The 21,547-nt window shown below is 40.9% G+C and overlaps 1 pseudogene, besides 2 other annotated features; it reads left to right on the forward strand.

Moving 5' to 3' along the window:
* Positions 2,926-3,445: an enhancer, noted in NCBI's record as "OCT4-NANOG hESC enhancer chr1:209328847-209329366 (GRCh37/hg19 assembly coordinates)". NCBI's record gives its function as "activates a minimal SCP1, AML or CMV promoter by ChIP-STARR-seq in naive H9 embryonic stem cells {active_cell/tissue: H9 hESC(naive)}" and the evidence as "EXISTENCE:reporter gene assay evidence [ECO:0000049][PMID:30033119]".
* Positions 4,637-5,174: an enhancer, noted in NCBI's record as "OCT4-NANOG hESC enhancer chr1:209330558-209331095 (GRCh37/hg19 assembly coordinates)". NCBI's record gives its function as "activates a minimal SCP1, AML or CMV promoter by ChIP-STARR-seq in primed H9 embryonic stem cells {active_cell/tissue: H9 hESC(primed)}" and the evidence as "EXISTENCE:reporter gene assay evidence [ECO:0000049][PMID:30033119]".
* On the forward strand, positions 20,369-20,996 carry LOC100652908 (GRB2 related adaptor protein pseudogene; annotated as a pseudogene).
* Positions 20,997-21,547: the final 551 nt, after the last annotated feature.

Consider the following 21,547-nt stretch of genomic DNA (forward strand, 5'->3'; position numbering starts at 1 on the left):
CTTCAATTCTCTGCACTGACCAGATATCCCAGAGAATTCCTTGCCCACAGCCCTCTTCTTGCTTTATGATAGCTGTCTTCCAGAATGGGCCAGGGCTCTGTCACCCACTTTTGTTTTTTTTCTTAGATGAAGTCTTGCTCTGTCACCCAGGCTGGAGTGCAGTGGCACAATCTTGGCTCACTGCAGCCTCTGCCCTCCATCACCCCCTTTTCTAAATAATAATAATAATAATAGCCAACATTCATTATTAAGCACTGATCTGACTCCTTTAACTTCATCTTCATTTTATTTTTGCACTATGGATTATTGTTATTCCATTTTATAACTGAAAAAAAATTGAGCTAAATAAAAGATAAATAAAACTTCACATAGCTTGTAATATAGCAAAGTGAGATCTGAAATCAGCTCTGTTTGATGACATGCAGGTCAAAAAAGGGATTTTGAAATTGGTGTCTAAACTAAAAGAAATAAAACCCATGAAACCCTTAGAGGAACATGTTAGAATCTTGAATTATCAAAATTTTAAAGTTCTAAAGCAAATGTTTTTAGATTTATCTACTTTCAAAACTTGCATGTGCTCAGAATATTTTTAAACACAGAAAAGATTTTATTCAGCCAATTTGACTGATGTTGATAATTTCATCATGACAAAAGCGGGGAGCTGCTATGTGCCATTTCTCAATTAAATGGTATTATTTGTTCTTTACATCACCCTTAGTTTTATTTATTCACATATACATATGCATCTCACATGACCCAAATACTAATTTTGCCTGCTATCACTGGCTTTCAGAGCTATGATTTCCAATAGAGGAAAGGACTAAGGAAAAAATCTTTAAAGCCTTCTGAAATGAAGTCTTTATTTATAAAGTTATGTAGCTGCATAACTGTTGCAGACAGATTTGTATTCAATGTATTTGGAGGCTTACGTGCATTTCTTCCTTCTGCCTTTGATCCCTCTTCTCCTAAAATGTATGCACTTATTCTCTGCTTACTTTAGGATTTCAATTCTGTCTTGGAGATACTGTCCTGATAGTCTGAGTCATTGGTCCTGTTCTCAATAAAGTATAGAAGATGGATAGCTTTACCACTTTCCTTCAGCTCTTATAAATCTAATAAATGGTTTCATCCATATTGCCTCTCTTGGAATCCTTCACATTGCCTTGGCTGGTTTCTGTTACAGATAAGAAAGGGGAATGTTTGCCAACCTTGATATTGATAAAACTGAAACAGCTACTCTAATAATTCTACATCTGTGCAACTTTATTCTTATTGTTCAGTGGGGAGTGAGTGCCATACCCTACATTAAAAAAAAAAAAAAAGCAATGTAGCCAGAGCAATAAGGAATCAGATATTGTCAGGTCATTTGGTGTCTACATTATTATGTGGGCTCCTGAGAGTTAAAAATGAGTTCATGGCAACTGTGGCAAAATCCTAGGGACAGCTCTTTCCTCCAGACAGACAAGACGAGAAGAGACAAACTTTCTGAAATTGTCCAATTTTTTTTGTTGAAAAACAGGGAAACTGCTTCATCAGAATGAACTTCCTATGAGTAATCATTTCTAAAATTAGGAGACACAATATGCTTCAGCATAAGAAATAAATCACAAGAACCAGACCCTAAGCAAGAAATGTTTTATTTGCTTTACCCCAAGTCTCACTTATTTTATATTTTGTTTAAGCATATGCTTTGCAAAATTAATTTCTCCCCTCACACTCTCCATAAGGACTCTTCGCAGATGTAGTGATGATTTTTCAACCCCCACGAAACTGAATTAGGTTATTTTAGACCTGAAAGCGTTTTCAAAAATTATTATTATTAAAGGCAAGTAAGAGCAAAACAAAAAGAAAATTTTTAAAAGCTATTTGTTAACCTGCCCTGACTGCTCTTTAAGTACACTGAGATAATTTACAAACGTAAATCATGCTAGAAAATGCAATCATGCCATGAGTTTAATAGAACTCTTGGCCAGGTGCGGTGGCTCACACCTGTAATCCCAGCACTGTGGGAGGCTGAGGAGGGTGGATCAGGAGGTCAGGAGATCGATGGCCAATATGGTGAAACTCCATCTCTACTAAAATACAAAAAAAAAAAAAATTAGCCTGGCATGGTGGTGCATACCTGTAGTCCCAGCTACTCGGACGGCTGAGGCAGGGGAATCACTTGAACCCAGGAGGCAGAGGTTGCAGTGAGCTGAGATTGTGCCACTGCACTCCAGCCTGGCGACAGAGCAAGACTCCGTCTCAAAAACAAAAAAGAACTCTCACTGCTTATACATTTACATTATTGATATGCTTCTTGATCATGTCTTCTGGAATTTTCAAAGTCCTCAAAGACATTTTTTATGTCTCTTATGTTTAAAAAAATTAAGATAAGCCTTACTGGGGTCTACCTGGTACACCACAAGTGAGGACAATATCTTTGTGTTGTTCTGAATTATCAGAGCACAATAAACCTTTAAGGAAGCCCAACACACTCACATTTACCAGTTGGTTTCTCACTGACAACAGTAGAGCAGGCCCAGCTGTTCCCAGCAGCTGTTTGGTGTAGAACTGCCTAAGCCGAAATGCCTTCCAGCTGATGGTGGTCCCCAGGAGCCAGAAGACAGTCACCAAGCATAGGAATGGAGGCCAGTTCCAAAGGGAGAGAAACCCAAAGCCTAGAGAACTAAGGAAACCACTCCCATCCTACCTTTACCCCTTAAAGGAAAACAGAACTCTGTAAACCTGTTCATTCCCAGCCTGCCCTCTCAAGGGCTTCACCTTTATAATGAGCTAGACTGGAAGAGGAGATTTCATTTCGTTCCAAATGAATTATCATTATAATAGGCATCTAGGCTGCCCATCAAAGATCCCAGAACTGGGGTAGCAGGAAAGTGGAGTGGGTAAGAGGAGAGGGGAGAAATTTACATACAGAGATAAGCATGGACACTGATTAAGAGAACACACTTTTGCTTCAAAAAGACATGAACTCCGCACAGGTCACCTGCCTGTTAAGTATATACAGTGTGTGCTTATTTGATGATGAAAATCAGAGGATGGCTATTTGAATGGAAATGAATTTTAATAAGCGTTTGAGGCAGAAGCAGCAACCCTTCATTCTCCCTTCTATCACCAGGCACCTTCTTGACCATCATTACCACAGAGGAAAGAATGCTGGCATGCTAATCATCCAGTGAAGAATGCTCTCTATCCTCCTCAGTCTTTGTGGGTGTTCATTAACCTTGTGGGCTCCTTAGCCAGCAGAGCACAGCTGTCCCAGGGAAATTTCCATATCCCTTAAGAAAAGCAGGATGTCAGTTAGCGTTCAGGGATCCAGCCTATAGAAAAAAGTGGGAGAAATCTCCCTGAGGAATGAAAGCAAGACTACTAGCGTTTAGCACTTATGTTGCACTATTTTAAAACTTGCAAAATTTTGGACTGACTTTGCACTTTTATAAAATTAAGTATAGTATGGTTATTTATTACTCTTTTTGAAAAAAATCTGGACAGACGAAAGAATTATCCTAGTATTGTAAACTCTCATCTCTGCTTCCAGGCTGAAATGAAAGCGAAAATAAACACCCTTGGATTATCTATCTTTTATTGGTACTTAAACATACAAGACAGCACGGAAGCATTCCAGTGACCTTAAGAGGTCATGAAATCTATCCTCTTACTCCAAACAAAATCACTTAAAATTTCTCTGACAACACAATCAATTAAATATATTTTCAAAGAACTTTCACCTGAAAATGTCAGTCATTTGGGAAACCGCGGGTTCTCTAGCAACTGCCTTTTCCCAAAGTCCACACTAATTCCTGTAGTTATTGTTGTTGTTATTGTTTTTCTTCTGTGCACAAATCCTAAGTTTGTAAGGTCATTGACCCTAAGTTGGTCCAAGCTCATTAAGCCTGACCTTAAAGGCACTACCAGCACAGTTGAATCTCTTCTCAAAAACTTGGCAACAGACTTTTTTATTTTTCCCTCCATGACCATCTCTAATGGGTCATTAAAGTCAGCAAGTCTTTTCTGGTTTATTTAATACTAAATTGTGGTTTTTTTTTTCTTTTTTTTTTTGAGATGGAGTCTCGCTCTGTCGCCCAGGCTGGAGTGCAGTGGTGGGATCTCGGCTCACTGCAACCTCTGCCTCCCGGGTTCAAGCAATTCTCCTGCCTCAGTCTCTCGAGTAGCTGGGATTATAGGCATGCGCCACCATGCCTGTAATCCATGCTAATGTTTTTGTATTTTTAGTGAGATGGGGTTTCACCATGTTGGCCAGGCTGGTCTCAAACTCCTGACCTTGTGATCCGCCCGCCTCAGCCTCCCAAAGTGCTGGGATTACAGGCATGAGCCACGGCAACTGGCCTTTAAATTATGCATTTTTATGATAGAAAGAAAAAATACTTCAATTGCCTAATAGTGGAATATCTAATGTCTTTAATATCAAGAAGTAAATATTGCCATCAGCAAAAGCTGTGAGCTCTCTGCAATCTACATATTGTAGTGTTAGAGACAACGTCACTGACTGGGCTCTCGACAAAAGCATTGGAGAAAGAAGGGGATCCGGCATATTCTAGTAAGCTTTTCCTCTCCTAATCCTAAGCAAGTAAGTGTTGCATTCTTAAACACATTTGCAAATGGATGTCTACAGATAGGCCTGTTAACCACAGAGTTTTTTTAATTTGAGGATTTACCTTACGGGAATTAAGACTTAATCACTGAGATTTTACCATGCAGTCTTCAACATCCCTGTAATGTTTTTACTAAACCTCAAACTAATGTAGAATAAAGCAAGAGATAGCAAGCACAAAGGGATCCCCACCAAAATGTAAAAAAAAAAAAAATCAATTGCCCCCCACCATGGAAAACTTAAATTAAACTCTGTCTTCCTTTTTACTAGAAAGATGCTTTAAAAAATTTAGCAAATTTAATTAAGTTGTTCTCTTTTACCTGCTTTTCCTCTTGAGCAACTGTTTTACTGACCCTGCCCCTCAGGTCCCAGAAGTGAGGAGGGTAGAATGCCAAAGAGCTGGGGCTGGGCTCAGAAAGGTCTCAGCCATTTCCTCCCCATTATCGCTCTGTTCAGCTGCTCAGGCTCTGACAGCCTAACAAGGTGCTAATGGGCCATACGTTCTAGCCCAGTTCACAGCAGGTTGTTTCAAATGAGTTGAGGAGGTTGATTTGCATTCAAAATCTTCTCTCCCTCACTTGCTTTTTTGTTTGGCCCCTTGATTTCTACTCCCCAGACACCCTTCGAGGTTGACTTAGAATGGAACAAAATCACATTGGTTCAGAATTTGAATTGCCTGAGTTTGGATTTTAAATGTGCCCCATTATTTCATCAAGTTGTGGTGGAGTGGGGAGGAGTGAAGGGAAAGAAAAGAGAGCAAAGAGATTTTAAAATGAAAGGGAGAGATGATGACAGATGGATGCAAATGTTCCTTTTAAGTGGAGAGGAGCAGCTGATGTAGGGGCATGAAATTGAATTAGTACATCTGTGGCTGGATGTGTGTCATTCAGCTTCGTATTTTCTACTCCACAGGAGTTTGGTTACCTCGTGATGAATGAGTTCACTTTCACAGGGCCAGGAATACTTCCCTGCACACAAGATGGAGACCCTTTTCTTCAAAGGGGAGCTGCCTGTGGAAAAGCCTATCACACCAGGGCAGCCCTCTAACATTTTGATATGTATCACCCCTGGAAGGAGGGGTTGGCAATCTTTGAAACTCTAGTTCCTAAAGTCAAAGGGAGGTAGGAGGGATATGAAATAGAAGTCAGCACGTTTTCCAAGGAGACCGTGTTTATGAGTGACCTGCGGTGTGCTGGCAAGTGAACAATCTGCTTCTGAAAACCCTGCCCGCGTGCGCTCAAAGTGCTCAGGATCCGTAAATGTTTACAACCACTTCCAGGGAGTAATGGGATGAGGCTGTTTCTTCAGGACCAGGCTCCAGGGGTGCTCCCCAAAAATAACCAACACAAGTTTCCCCTTCCCTTTTGAAAGCCCAGCAGTCCTCCAGCTTCAGGGCCACTGCCAGGAAGGTTTATGGCTCCATTCTGCTCCTAGCTCTATATTTTTCTCTACTTCATCTTGGATCTCACTTCCCATTCTTTTGAAGGAAACCAAAATATTTCACCCCAAAATATACTTCTTTGATATATTTTAAGATAGCTATTTAGAAGGGCTGGAAATACAAGAATAACTGAAAAGCTGTCTTTTCGGGGGAGATTTGCATCTGTAGAGTTAATCCACATTGATTCAGCCAGGCTTCTTCAGATACCCTTCCTTGTCTAGATCTAGGCAAGATTCAATAAAAGTCTGACACCTTTAAAGGTCTGAAAGAAACATTTACCATCTATTCTCTTAGAGGATTGCTACCTGTGTAGAGTATTGCTACCTGTAGAGATTGCTCCCTGTTAGAGGATTTCACCTGTATAACAAGGCCATCTTTGCTAGCCAGGCCCCCTCTGATGAGCTGTCTTGCCACTATCAACTGATTTACCAACCATAACATGTTTTTGGCCCTACTCCAAGCCCCCATTCTTTTTGTAACTTCAAGGTGGTATAAAAGCATCAACCATCTGGTCATTTCTTTGCGATCTTATATTTTGTAAGACTCCTGTGCATGTTAATAAATTTGTATACCTTTTCTCCTATTAATCTGCCTTTTGTCACTAGATTCTCTGCAAAACTTCAGAGGCCAAAAGTTTTCCCTTGGGCCCTAAACTCTCTTTTGCCCCAGAGCTAAAAATCTAAGACAGTTGTTCCCCATCCAGTAAAGCCTAAGTCACAAGCCTAATTGTCACAGCCTTGCTTTGTAAAAACCAAATAAATGAAGAGAGCATTGTTACTCAGAACCAGTTACATGAGACTTAAATTAAAAAACTGTGTAAAGCAAAAGTTAATTTCTGGATATTTGCAACAGACCTGGGAATCATCTTTGCCCATTGGTCAGGGCAGTATTGAAACTCTGCTCATGGAGTTAACGAGAATTACATGCCAGCTTCTGGAAAAAAATATAATTATCATTAAACATCAATCAGACTGCACTCTGGCCTACTTCCTTATAACTGAAAATCATGTAACACTAGATACTGACAATTTACCTTCCCATTGTTTGTATAGATGGGATTTCTGATGTTAAAATCATAAGGCTTTAGTTTAAGAATTGATTTACATCCCCATTGTTCCCGTTAGCAGCGGAGAACCCATCTGGGTCTGCAGCAACTCAATTCTCGACTTCTCGAGGGGAAAGAATTCAGCTGAGCGGCATAATGCAGAGTCAGAGACCAAGACAAGTTTTTGAGCAGGAATGAAAGTTTATTAAAAAATATTAGAGCAAGAACAAAAGGAGAAAAGTGCACTTGGAAGAGGGCCAAGTAGGCCACTTGAGAAATCCAAGGGTGCCGTCTGACCCTTGCCCTGGGCATGGGTCTGGGGTTTGCATTTCTTCTTCCTTAATTTTTCCTTGGGATGGGCTGTCCACATGCACGGTGGCCTGCCAACACTTGGGAGGGGCCACATGCAGTGTATTTACTGAAGTTGTGCACATGCTCACTTGAGGCGTTTTTCCTTTATCAGTCGAGTCTTCCTAGGGGAAGGTCTTATACTGGTTAAACTCTGCCATTTTGCCTCTTAGTGCACATGCTTGAGCCCATTCACCCAACTCCTGAGATCGTACTGGGAAGCTGCTGATCACCAGCTTCAGGTGTTTTCTGTCTGTTGGGAGACTGCCTTTCCTTGACACCAGCTACAACCAATTATTATTTTAGAGAAACAATTTAACAACTGCCTGACCATCACTTGATGGTCACCTGACATTTCTGGCAAATTGCCCTGCTCTTGCCCTGCTCTTGTTTGCCTAACTATCTACTCTATCATTCTTAAAGATAAGACCACTGATGTTAGAATGAAAGACTTGTTTAAAAATGCTTAAGACGTTTATCAGGCTTGGAATTCCAGTGAAGCAGCTGACACCAACCAGTTTAAAGACCTCCACAGAAAAATCAAATCAGTATAAAATACAGTTTCATCACTTCCCTGTCCCATGACTGCACCCTACATTCTTTCATCAATCAACAATCCCCACACCTCAACCCATTGCAAACCCCTTAAAATCCCTAGCCCCAAACTCTCTGAGGAGGAGGATTTGAGGTTTCCTACCATCTTTTCATTTTGCTGCCCTATGATATTTAAACTTTCTCTGCTACAACCCTTGGTATCAGTGTACTGACTTGCCACAGCTCAGGCAATGGAACTGTTAAGGTCACAGTATTCTACGAGTGGTCCCCAAAATGTCTCAGAGAATCAGTGTTGTTTTTTAAATATTTTAAAATCTTTTTTATTTTTATTATTATTTTTTTTGAGATAAAGTCTCGCTCTGTCGCCCAGGCTGGAGTGCAATGGCGCGATCTCAGCTCACTATAACCTCCACCTCCCAGGTTCAAGCGATTCTTCTGTCTCAGCCTCCTGGGTAGCTGGGAATTACAGGCACACACCACCATGCCTGGCTAATTTTTGTATTTTTAGTAGAGATGGGGTTTCACCACGTTGATCAGGCTGGTCCCAAACTCCCGACCTCGTGATCCGCCTGCCTTGGCCTCCCACAGTGCTGGGATTACAGGCATGAGCCACTGTGCCCGGCCTAAAATCTTAAAAAAATTTTTTTTTAGTGACAGGGTCTCACTCTGCTGGCCAGGTTGGAGTGCAGTGGCACGATCATTGTTCACTGCAGCCTTGAACTCCTGGGCTCAAGTGATGCTCCTGAATTGGCTTCCCTAAGTGCTAGGATTACAGATATGAGCCACCCCAAACTGCCTGATATGTTAAATTCTAATCTCCAGTGTGATGATATTTGGAGGTGGGGCCTTTGGGAGGTGATTAGGTCATGAGGGTGAAGTCCTCATAAATGAATTTATAAGAAGAGGCCAGAGAGCTAGCTTGCTTGCTTTCAGCTATGTGAGGACACAACAAGAAAGTGGTAGTCTGCAACCTGAAAGACAGCCTTCACCAGAACCTGACCATGCTGGCAGCCTGATCTTGGACTTCTAGCCTGCAGAACTGTAAGAAATGAATTTCTGTTGTTTATAAGCCACCCAGTTAAGAAAAAAAATAAATAAATAAGGCAGTCTGGGCCCTGTGAAGTATGCAAAACTTACCAGGCCCAGAAAGATGTGAATATAGGACTTCAGTAGGAGGGGGCACGTCCATGCCCAGGGCTGACTGTTTAACGGCATCTTTGCCCCCGACTGGCTGCCTCTCCCATTATCTTCATGTTCCTGGAATCTGTGATATACAGTACAATGCAGAGCCAATCAATAGCTTAGGTTATTTCTATGTAAATTATTAGTAAATAATAGAGGAACTGCCTCTTCTTTTTTTCTTGAAAATCCACTTGTAACTGCTGCTAATCAAAGTGTATATTCACAGCAACTTAAATCTATGTTTCTGGGTGGCCATCGTCAAGCTCTGGGGTCAAATAAACTCTATACTTAATCATATTTTCTGAATCTCATTATTGAAAGTTGACATAGTCTATGGTACTTTGTTATAATAGCCTGAACTAAAACAATCACAAATAAAGTTTGTGTTTTCTTTTTTAAAGACATTATCCCTTGTCAACTCAAATCCATTAAAAAATAAGAAAAACAATTAACGTAAAAGTATCATCGTGATAATAATTTCTTATCTAGGTAAAAGAGCCACTGAAGCCTCTTTAACCCACTGAACTGTTTCACGGACTTGAAAATCAAGCTGAAGACTCATATATTTTTTTTTAACTGTTCTTACCTTGGTAAGCAAAAGCAAAATGAGGAAAAAGGCATGTCTATTCCCTACAGACCCCAAAATTTTCTGAAAAAGACCTCCAAATGGGGTTTGTCTATCAAGTGCATAAAGTTGAAGGAGGCCAAGGTGTTGCTATTCACATCATCGGCTTAAGTTAGCACACACCATGTGGTCTTTCTTTAGGCAATTTTCGAGTTGTCTCCTTGGATGCCTTACGCTAGAAGTGCATACACAACAAAAATGAGGAATGTATAATATCTAGGGAAAGGGAAGAAGAAAGAGGGAGTCAGTCCCCTGCAAATCCATTGACGTGAGGCATTCTTCCTGGATGGTCCTTCACCTTACATTTGCTTCATGTTGTCCCTTACAGCCCAGGCAAATTCTCCACAGCATTTTGCCCATAAGATCATTACCACATTGCTTGGTTCCCCTTTCAGAGATGATTAGTCAGCCAGTCCATATTTAGCTCCTGTTGCTATTTCCCGGCCAAGTCTTTCATTCCCTAAACATTTCTGATGTGGTTCTTGGAACTGTATTCAATGTGCTAAGCCTCGGCTGCCCCAAGCAGAATGCCTTGTCCATCTGTGCCCAGAAGATGCTTGCATTGTTTTCCATCAATCTCTCTCTCTCCAAAGGAATTAGATGAGAAAGGATGTCTTACTGCATTGTTGCCAGTGTTCCATAACAAGAATCCTTGGGGTGGCTCTCAATAAGAAAAAATCAAGCCTGAGTTAGAAAGCCATAATTGCATTGCTTTCAGTAGGCAAGACTAGACAGATATAGCACTGTGATATATGCAGGGTATATCCTGGATTTTTTTCTCACCTCCTCCTGCAGAGCATTCCTTCTTGCTCTAGCAACCCCAGTGTGATGGTTAATTTTAGGTGTCAACTTGACTGGATTAAAAGATACCCAGATAGATGGTAAAGCATTCTTTCTGGGTATGTCTATGAGGGTGTTTACAGAAAAGAGGCACTAGGGTCAGTGGCCTGAGTAAGGAGGATCAACCCTCACCCAATGTGGGCAGGCACCAAACAATTGGTTCAGTGTCTGGATAGAACAATGAGGTCAGAGGAAAGATGAATTTTCCTGTCTTCTGGAGCTGGAACACTCATCTTCTGTTACTCTTGGACATCCAGGTTCTTTGGCCTTTGGACTCTAAGACTTGCACCACTGGCTTCCCAAGTTCTTGGGCCTTTAAACTTGGACTGAGCAATGCTATCAGCTTCCTTTGTTCTCCAGCTTGCAGATAGCATATGGTGGGACTTCTCAGCCTCCATATTTGTGTGAGCCAATTTCCATAATAAATCCTCTCTCAAACATTTCTGTTGATCCTATTGGTTCTGTTTCTCTGAAGATCTATAACTAATATACCCAGTTCCTTGCACTGTTCCCACAGGTTCCTATAACCAACCCCACCACTTTTGCTGTTTCTGCCCTCTAGGAATTTTTTACTGCTTCTTCCCCCATCAAAATTGGACTTTCTTCTATTTAATGTCAATTTTTCTTAATTATGGTAAAGTAATTCACATAACAGCAGTTTATCTCGTTGTCTCACCTGATGTGACAAATGAATGAGAATCCAAAAGAATGATTGTAATGGAATTTTGGGCCCTCATGGGCCACCGTTGAGGTGTTTTTTATATAAAGTTTGAATATATGTCCCTGCCAAATCTCATGTTGAATTATAATCCCCAGTGTTTGAGGTGGAGCCTGATAGAAAGTGTTTTGGTCATGGGGGGTGGATTCCTTATGGCTTGGTGCTGTCCTTGCAATAGTGAGTGAGTACACATGAGATTTGATTAAGTGTGTAACACCTCCCTCCACTACCCTCTCTTGCACCTGCTTCTGCCATGAAACACCTGCTCCTGTTTCCACCTTCCACTATGATTGTAAGTTTCCTGAGGCCTCCCCAGAAGCAGATTCTGGCACCATGCTTCCTGTACAGCCTACAGAACCATGTGCTAACTAAACCCCTTTTCTTATAAATTACCCAGTCACAGGTATTTCTTTATAGCAATGTAAAAACGGCCTAACACATTTTTAAAAGGAGCAACTATGTTGACACTTTCTTCACAGCACATAAAGAAAACACCTACCCCCCATCCAATAGGGTTTCCATAATTATTTGCTTATTTAATTTTTTTAAATAGGAGATGAAACTTTCTACTATGATTCCTGCTATCTCAAGTTGAACCGTACCTATAGATACCAAGATTTATTTGATAGTGAAACAAGCATGTAGAGCAAGCATATGGCAACATTTTAGATAATCTTTTCTCAAACATTACTATACATGAGAATCACCTGGGAATCTTGCTAAAATACAGATTTTGATTTACTAGGTCTGTGGAGGAGCCTGAGATTCTGCTCTGAGGTGATGCCTATGCCACTGATACCTGGTCTATACATCAAAGAGTAAGGATCTATAGGGTGAGGGCAGAACTTGGAATGAAAGAAAGGGAAGATGAGATCATTTCTAAATAATTTCCTGGAAGAAATGGAAATAGGAGATGTCATTGACTTAAACATAAAATATAGCAGACTATTAAGATCCTCTAAGGAAGAGCCTGCTGTACTGATTCCATTTTTTTTTTTTTTTTTACCATTTAGTCTTAATTCACCTGCATTTATAGTACATTTATTTATTTGACAAATACTCATTATACTTATGTGTTCCATGGGTAGTGCAAGTCATTGAGGAGAAAGGTAGTCAAGGTTGGCATCATTTTCACAAACACAGAGCTGAGAGAATATACTAAAAGCTATGTAAAGGAAGAATATACCAAAAGCTATGTAAAGGAAGAATAATAGTTAAATTTTATCCCATAATCAGATATATACAAAATGGCCATTTAACAAAAGGCTAATTTCTGAATTCAGTTGCTTTTTTTACCTCTCAAATCAATCTGAATGATCATAAGGTAGAATTTTATCATTAATGCTTAGTGAAGAAGTTGTACATGTAGTACATTTTCTTCTTCCGAACCACACCTCACAAATTCCCACAGCTCAGAACTATAGAAGATGCCCTCCAAAGAGGTGAAATTTATTTTGAAACTTATTCATGTATGTATAAATTAACTCATTGGAAATCATTTGTGGCATGTCAACTTTGTGTCATACTGCACTCAGTATTCGGGCCCAGAGATGAAAGTACATAGTAATTGTGTTCAAGGAGCTCAGCTGGAGGTATTTTAATTTGAACACAATCTGGCAGTAAAGTCAGACCATTGTCATACTTAACAGCACGGTAAAACTGACAGTTTCAGTGATCCTGAGGAGAGTTTCTGGTCCAACTGAGCTTGGAGCCTATGATTTCGGAAGACCTCACAAGTATCTCAGGAAGTATACACCATGACCAAATGGGAAAAATCCCAAAAATGCCAAGTTAGCTCAACATATAAAAATCAGTCCATGCAATATGCTATATTAATAAAAAATTTAAAACCACATGATTACTACAATCAATGCAGAGAAAATATTTGACAAAACCCAACAATCTTTTATGAAATAAAAACAAACAGCAAACTAAGAGTAGAGGGGAATTTCCTCAACCTGATTATGGTCATCTAAGGAAAACTCACAAGTAATATTATACTTAATAAAGACTGAATGCTTTCCTTCTAATATTGGAAAGATGACAAGGATGTCTACTCTTGCTACCTCTATTCAATACTGTACTGAAGAGTCTAGCCAGGGAAAGTAGGCAATAAAAGGGAATAAAAGTTATCCAGACTGAAAAAAAAATAAAACTATCTCTTATATGTGGGAAGTATTAAGAAATATATATGCATGCACACACACACATGAACACACACAAATTATTAGTACTTATAGACAACCACTGCAAGGTTACAGGACACAAGATAAACATGCAAAGTCAATTGTACAGTCTACACACTCACAGTGAACAATCTGCATATAAAATTAGGAAAACAATTTTATTGACAAAAACATCAAAAAGAAGAGAATACAAATAAATTAACAGAAGAAGTGCAAGATTTATAAACTAAAAACTACAAAACATAATCAAAAGAAATAAAAGAAGACCAAAATAAATGGAAAAATAGGCCATGTTCACAGACTAAAGACCTAATATTGTTAACATGGCAACATTCCCCTAACTGATCTACAGATTTAATGCAATCTCTACCATAATTCCAGCTGGCTTTTTTGCAGAAATTGACAAATGGATTCTATGATTTGCAAGAGATCTAGAATAAGCAAAGCAATTTTGAAAACAAAACAAAGTTTGAGGTCTCATACTCCCTATTTCCAAAACCATTTAAAAAAAGAATTATAGAACAAAATAGAGCTATAATCATTAGGACAATGTGATACTGACATAAGGAAAGACATGTAGATCAATGAAATAAAAGTGAGAGTTTTGAAATAAAACCTCAAATTTATGGTAAACTAATATTATTTTACAAGGGTGCCAAGGCAATTCAACGGAAAAAGAGCCATCTTTTCAACAAATGGTGCTGACACAAATGTTTATCTGTACGCAAAAGAATGAAGTAGGACCCCTACCTCACACCATATACTAAATTAAATTGGAGCAAACATCTAAATGTTAAAGTCAAAATTCTAAAACTCTTAGAGGAAAACATAAACATAAACCTTTATGACTTTGGATTAAGAAAGCATTTCTTCAATATGACACCAAAAAACAAGCAACAATGACAAAAACAGAAACAGACAAATTCAACTTTATCAAAATTTAAAATTTTTGCATTTTAAAGTACACTATTAAAATAGTGAAAAGACAACCCATAGAATGAGAGAAAATATTTACAAATCATATATCTGATAAAGGACTTCTTTGCAGACTGTATAACAAACTCTTACAACTCAACAATAAAAAATAAATGACCCAATTTTCAAATGGGGAAAGTATCTGAACAGACATTTCTCCAAAAATACACAGATGGACAATAAGCAATAAAACTTTGCTCAACATTACTATTCATTAGGGAAATAAAATCAAAACTACAATGAGATATGACATCACTCCCACTAGGATGGCTATAATAATAATAATAATACTTTTTTTTTTTTTTGAGACGGAGTCTCGCTCTGTCATCCAGGCTGGAGTGCAGTGGCATGATCTCAGCTCACTGCAAGATCCACCTCCCGGATTCATGCCATTCTCCTGCCTCAGCCTCCCAAGTAGCTGGGACTACAGGTGCCTGCCACCATGCCCGGCTAATTTTTTGTATTTTTAGTAAAGATGGGGTTTCACCATGTTAGCCAGGATGGTCTAGATCTCCTGACCTCATGATCTGCCCATCTTGGCCTCCTAAAGTCCTGGGATTACAGGTGTGAGCCACTGCACCCAGCCAATAATAATAATTTTTTAAAGCAACTAGCATTGGCAAGAATATGAAGAACTGAAACACTCATACATTACTAATGAAAATGTAGAATGGTACAACCACTTTGGAAACAGTTTGGTATTTCCTTAAACAAAGAGTTGCCATATGATCCAGCATTTACCCAAAAGAATTGAAAATATATGTCTACAGATAAACTTGTACACAAATGTTCACAGTAGCATTATTCGTCATAGCCAAAAAGTTGAAACAACCCAAATGTTCATCAACTGATAAATGGATAAACAAAATGTGGTAAATCCCTACAATGAAATATTAATCAGCCACAAAAGGGAAAGAAATACTGATACAGGATATAACATAAATGAACTTTTATGTAGTAAACAATTTAACTTCACTCAAAGCATGGTCTGACATTTGCCCTTGACTCCTGGGAGGTAATCTCCAGGCCCTTGGAATGTCCTGTCTGAAAAAATATCTTTGTTTGCCTGGGATCCTTGGGCCAGCCAGATACTAACAATCTAATTTAGGGTGAGGGCTTTGGGGCATGTGGTATCAGTTGACCTCCAGAAAGAAAGTCTGAAGACTGAAGTCAGCCATGTGAGCAGCCAGCCAGGTTTATGTGATCAAGCTCCAATAAAGACCTGGACACCAAGGCTCTGGTGTACTTCCCTAGCTGGCAATATTCCATGGGTACAGTCACATATTGATACCAGAAAACTAATGGCATTGGCAAGAATATGAAGCATTCTTGCCAAAGCTGTCCATGACTCATGAGTAAAGAACAACTGGCAGTTTTGCTTTTGGTACTTTTTTGAACTCTGTTCTATGCACCTCTTCCTCTGGCTGATTCTAATCTGTATCCTTTAGCTGTAATAAACCATAATCATGAGCATAATAGCTTTCAGTGAGTTTTGTGGGGTTTTATCTTGATGGTCTTGGGAATCACCAAACTTGCAATTAGTATCAGAAGAAAGAGTGGTCTTACAGACTGTTCCTCTAACTTCTGAACTTTGAAAACATTATGGTAAGTGAAAGAAGCTAGATACAAACGTTATGCATTTTAATACATTTTAAGGAAATGTTCAAAATAGGCAACTACGTAGAAAAAGAAAGTAGATTAGTGATTGCCAGGGGCTGAGAAAGAAGAAAACGAGGAGTGACTGTTAAAGGATATGGGTTTCTTTCAGGAGTGAGGAAAATGTTCTAGAATTAGATAGTGTTGATGGTTGCACAACTGTGTTAGTACACTAAAGCCTACTAAATTGTACACTTTAAAGGAGTGAATTTTGTGATACATGAATTACATCTTTTTTAAAAAGCTTAGTATTTGTGCCCCATAGATTTCCTTTGACCAGGCCCAGAGATAAAAAAGAAAAGGGGGATTGACTGGAGCTGGTAATTTAGTTACCCCAAATGCACTAATAAGCCAAGTCTTGCTAGGGGAATAATTCCTTAGCATGCCTCTATGTGACTTCTCAGGAGAGGCTTCAGTGGATGAGGGACTAGGGGAGCAGAAGTAACAAACAGAAGCTAACAGCCTTGGGCTCTGCTCTTCATCTCACACATACCCTCTGGATAGACAGTAAAATTCAGTGTCAGTTTCTCCATAAAAATTTCCTGTTTAGAAAAAAACCACCTCTTCTGCTTTCTTTTCTCATTAAAATGTCACTTCTAAGTCATTTAGAAAGGGTCAGGTTGCATGTTGGCTCAAAAACCTTTGACAGCTACTGTAATTGCCTAGAGGTTAATAACAGTGATGTCTCTCACAAGTTCAATTTTGAAGTTTCTGCCAAGCCATTACATGTAACCAGGGTAAAGAAATCAAAGGACATTAGAGAGAAGAGAAGAAAACCCAATCTCATCTACCTCTGGACCGTTACCTCTTCCTTGGGACAGGACAAGTTTCTAAGTTGCTGTTCCCTGGTGTAGTTGCATTAGCTCTGATATCTGATCCTGAGTTCTGCCACTAACTAATCACATCATCGTCTCAAGCAAATTATTAAGTATTTTTGCTACTTTTTTTTTTTTGAGACACAATCTCACTCTGTTGCCCAGGCTACAGTGCAGTGGCACAATCTTGGCTCACTGCAACCTCCACCTCCTGAGTTCAAATGATTCTCCTGTCTCAGCCTCCCAAGTAGCTGAGATTACAGGTGCACAACACCATGCCCAGCTAATTATTGTATTCTTACAAGAATAGAGATGGGATATTCTTATAAGAATAGAGATAGGGTTTCATGATGTTGGCCAGGCTGGTCCTGAACTCCTGGCCTCAGGTGATCTGCCTGCCTGGGCCTCCCAAAGTCCTGGGATTACAGGCATGAACTACCATGCCTGGCCTTATCTTTGCTATTTTTAAAAATGGAATACTGCCACCCCTCCTGCTCTGCCTCAGGGCCATCTTGACAAAACTCTTTTATATACTATTACTATAGGGTGAGGCAGAACAAAGACGAACGTGTGCATAGGGTGCTCCAGAAACACCATGAAAGGGCAGTCGCTGAGCTTAGGATTGGGTCAGGAAAGCTTCTTGCACAAAGATAGACATGAATTACTATATTATTATTATTATTATTATTTATTTGAGCCAGGGTCTCACTCTGTTGCCCAGGATGGAGTGCAATGGCATGATCATGGCTCATTGCAGCCTCAACCTCCTGGGCCCAAACAATCCTCCTGTCTCAGCCCCTCAAGAAGCTGGGACTATAGGTGTGTGCCACTGTGCCTGGCTAATTTTTTAAATTATTTATAGAGATGAGGTCTCAATATGTTGCCCAGGATGGTCTCAAACTCCTGGACTCAAGCAATTCTCCCACTTCAGCCTCCCAAAGGGCTAGGATTATAGGTATGAGCCACCATGCCCAGCCATAGACATGCATTAAAATAGCATCTTTTATCATCTGGAGTTGGTTACTTTTAGGAAATAAAACAGAAGATATCTTAAAAACATGTTCAAAGGGTGCTCTAATTGCTTGTGTCTCAAGCATCATGGTATCAATTTTTCCTCTTTTATGGTCATGTAATCACATTTAATTCCTTCTTTCTATTCTTAAAATAAACATCCTAGAGGGAATTATGTTCTCCATTCTACAGATGAGAATACTGAGTTGATAAAGTTTGCATAACTAACTTAAACTTCACTTAACTGGTCAGTGGCTGAGATGGGCTTTGAACCATAGTTTTCCAACTACCATATTCACACTCTGTCTACCAGAGCAGTGGCTTCCAGATCTGGTGATAATCAAAATTGCCTCAAATGCTGTGAGAATCAACAGACATAATACCCATTGCTACATCTTGCTGTCCATCTATTCTATTCTTAAGAGACTTTAAAAAATTCCATCTTTAACACAGTGCTGCATCTTGCATGTTTTCCTTGGGTATTCCTTTCTGAGAGAATTCTCTAGCTTGAGTCTGGGAGTCAGCATAGTAGAATGGGCAAGCACATGAGTTTGGAGCCAGTATCTGAGTCAAAATCTTTGTTCACTATATGATTTTAAACAAGTTATTTGACCTTGCTATGTCTTTGTTTACTATGCAATGGGAATAATGTATCCTTCAAAGATTAAATGAAGAGATTACAAAGATTAAACAAGCTAATGATGTAAAATAGCTAATGAGGTGCTAGGCACAGGGTAATGTTCAATAAGTCACATCTCACGGTACTCTAGCTCACCCCTCTTCAGAGGAAAGGAAAAGAAGTCAAAGGAGCCAGAATCCAAGCCCATTTAAACAGTCTATCCCTGGCCAGCATTCTGGTCAGGGGCTGCTCTTCCCATGTGACCTTCCATCTAGCACTTGAATGTTGCTGTTATGGATCCAGATGTTTCCCATGTATTTGTTTTTCAAATCAACTTAAAACTGGCAAAAGAAAGATCATGCTCCTTCAAAATTAGAAATCCAAATGCTAATGAAAATCCAATTCACCTACTATGTAATGATTACCTACTATGACAGTCACTGGAAGATTAAAAAAGACAAATAAGCAGGACATAGTCCGTGCCTTTGAGGAACATGTGTTTTATTAGAGAGAATTAGATAAGGTCATAAATGACAACAGGCATACCTTGTTTTATTGTGCTTCATATATTGTACTTCGTAGATATTGCTTTTTTTTTTTTTTTTTTTTTTTTTTTTTTTTTTTTTTTTTACAAATTGAAGGGTTTTGGCAACTCTGCATTGAGCAAGTCTATTGGTGCCATTTTTCCAATAGCATATGCTCACTTTGTGTCTCTGTGTCACATTTTGGTAATTTACAAAATATTTAAAATTTTTTCATCTTTATTATATCTGTTACAGTGATCTGTGATCAGTAATCTTTGATGTTACTATTGTCATTCTTCCTTTGGGGAACCATGAACTGTGCCCATGTAAGATGGTAAATGTAATCAATAACTGTTGAGTGTTCTGACTACTCTGCCACCTGATCATTCCCCCATCTCCCTCCTTCTCTCTTCTTGAGCCCCCCAATCCCTGACACAATAATATTAAAATTAGGCCAATTAATAAATCTACAATGGTCTCTAATTGTTGAAGTGAAAACAAGTCTCACATTTTTATGTTAAATCAAAAGCTAGAAATGATTAATTTAGTGAGGAAGCCATGTCAAAAGCTAAGATAGGCTGAAAGCTGGGGCTCTTTTGCCAGTTATCCCAATTGTGAATGCAAAGGAAAAGTTCTTAAGGGAAATTAAAAGTGCCACTGCAGAGCCAGATCTTGAGTCTGAGGTGTTAAGAGTTTACCCTGAGGCCAAGAGAGAAGCCACAGAAGGTTCACGGGAGGGGGAGGACATGAGACATCCAACAGGTCTGAGTTCCTCTCACAGCAGTAGGCTTTGGTCTGAGTCAGGATGAGTCTAGGACTTGCTCCCCAAGGGACTGTGGGGACTGGGAGGAGCGGGGGAGCAGGGAGAAGGTCCAAGCTGAGGGGAACGGCAAAGAGATGTGAAGGAGATGCTCTCTGATCAGGACACACTCAGAGGTACCCATTTCACGTTGCTAACATGCCAGTCGCTGTGCACTTCTCCATAATGGAGATGTTATCATTATGAGGAAACTGAGGTTCAGAGAAGTCGAGAGACTTGCATGAGATCACACAGTGAGAAAGTGGCCCGGTTCAGAGCCCACACCCTTAACCCCATATTCCACTGCCAGATAGGACTCCCCAGACCCCATGTGGAGCTGGGTCAGTGGGGCCTCTCCCACTTGCACCTTATCTGACTCCAGGTCCCACCCTGAGACAGGCTGGTTCCAGGTGGTAGTGAGACGGGACCCCCTGGGACCATGCCAGGCTGGGACGGCCACCATCTGAGGTCGCCCCGGGTCCTTTCCCCTAGCTATGGAGACCAGGTGCAGCACTTCAAGGTGCTGCGCAAGGCCTCGGGGAAGTACTTCCTGTGGGAGGAGAAGTTCAACTCCCTCAACGAGCTGGTCGACTTCTACCGCACCACCACCATCGCCAAGAAGCGGCAGATCTTCCTGCGCGACGAGGAGCCCTTGCTCAAGTCACCTGGGGCCTGCTTTGCCCAGGCCCAGTTTGACTTCTCAGCCCAGGACCCCTCGCAGCTCAGCTTCTGCCATGGCGACATCATTGGGGTCCTGGAGCATCCAGACCCCCCACTGGTGGCGGGGCCAGTCCTGCGGGCGCGTTGGCTTCTTCCCACGGGGTTATGTGCAGCCCGTGCACCTGTGAGCAGCCCGGCGGCCGATCTGGCCAATGGGCCATTTTACAGGAACTGAGGTCCAGAGAGGACATGGACACCCCCAGCCCGGTCAGAGTCACACGGGGCTCAGTGGACTGCCTTGGACTGAACCGTGGGCTTCTAACTGCCTCCGGCCACTTCGCACAAACTGGGATGGCCCAGGTTCCCCAGCAAGGTTACCCAGCAAGGGTAGCTCCAGGGCTTCCTGGCTGGTTGCCTCCCATTGGCTGCCAGCTGTGTGACACCACAGGGCGGAGTCTGTGGAGACCCCACCCACCTCCTCTTGTCAATGGCCCCATCTGCCAGGAAGGTTGAGGACTCCTAGGTTTCACCCACTGGAGGCTCAACCTGAGGAACCCTGGCCATGGTGGGTGGGTTCACCTTGGGTTGACCACCCACTGGGCCTGCCTACCCCTCCTTCAAAAGGCCCCTGGAGTTGTTCGGGCTGTTGGGAGGTGGCTCAGCCTCGAAGGACAGACTGCACACCTGTTGACCTAAATTCACTGGACAGACTCCAGGTGGACACCAACTCCTCAACAGCCCCATGACTTCAGCTCCACCTGGGGCACCCAGCACCCCCTGCCCCACCACAGGGCTAGAGGCCCTGAGACCCTGAAAAAGGGGCAGGCAGTAGGGAAGGTGGAGGCACACTCCTCTTCTGTTGGACAGGTGAGCTCTGAGGGCAAGCCCTGGGCCTAGCCATGCAGAGACCCTGGCTGCCCTGGCTCTTGTTTGTTT

This window comes from Homo sapiens, chromosome 1 (assembly GCF_000001405.40).
Source record: "Homo sapiens chromosome 1, GRCh38.p14 Primary Assembly".
NCBI classification, from domain to species: domain Eukaryota; kingdom Metazoa; phylum Chordata; class Mammalia; order Primates; family Hominidae; genus Homo; species Homo sapiens.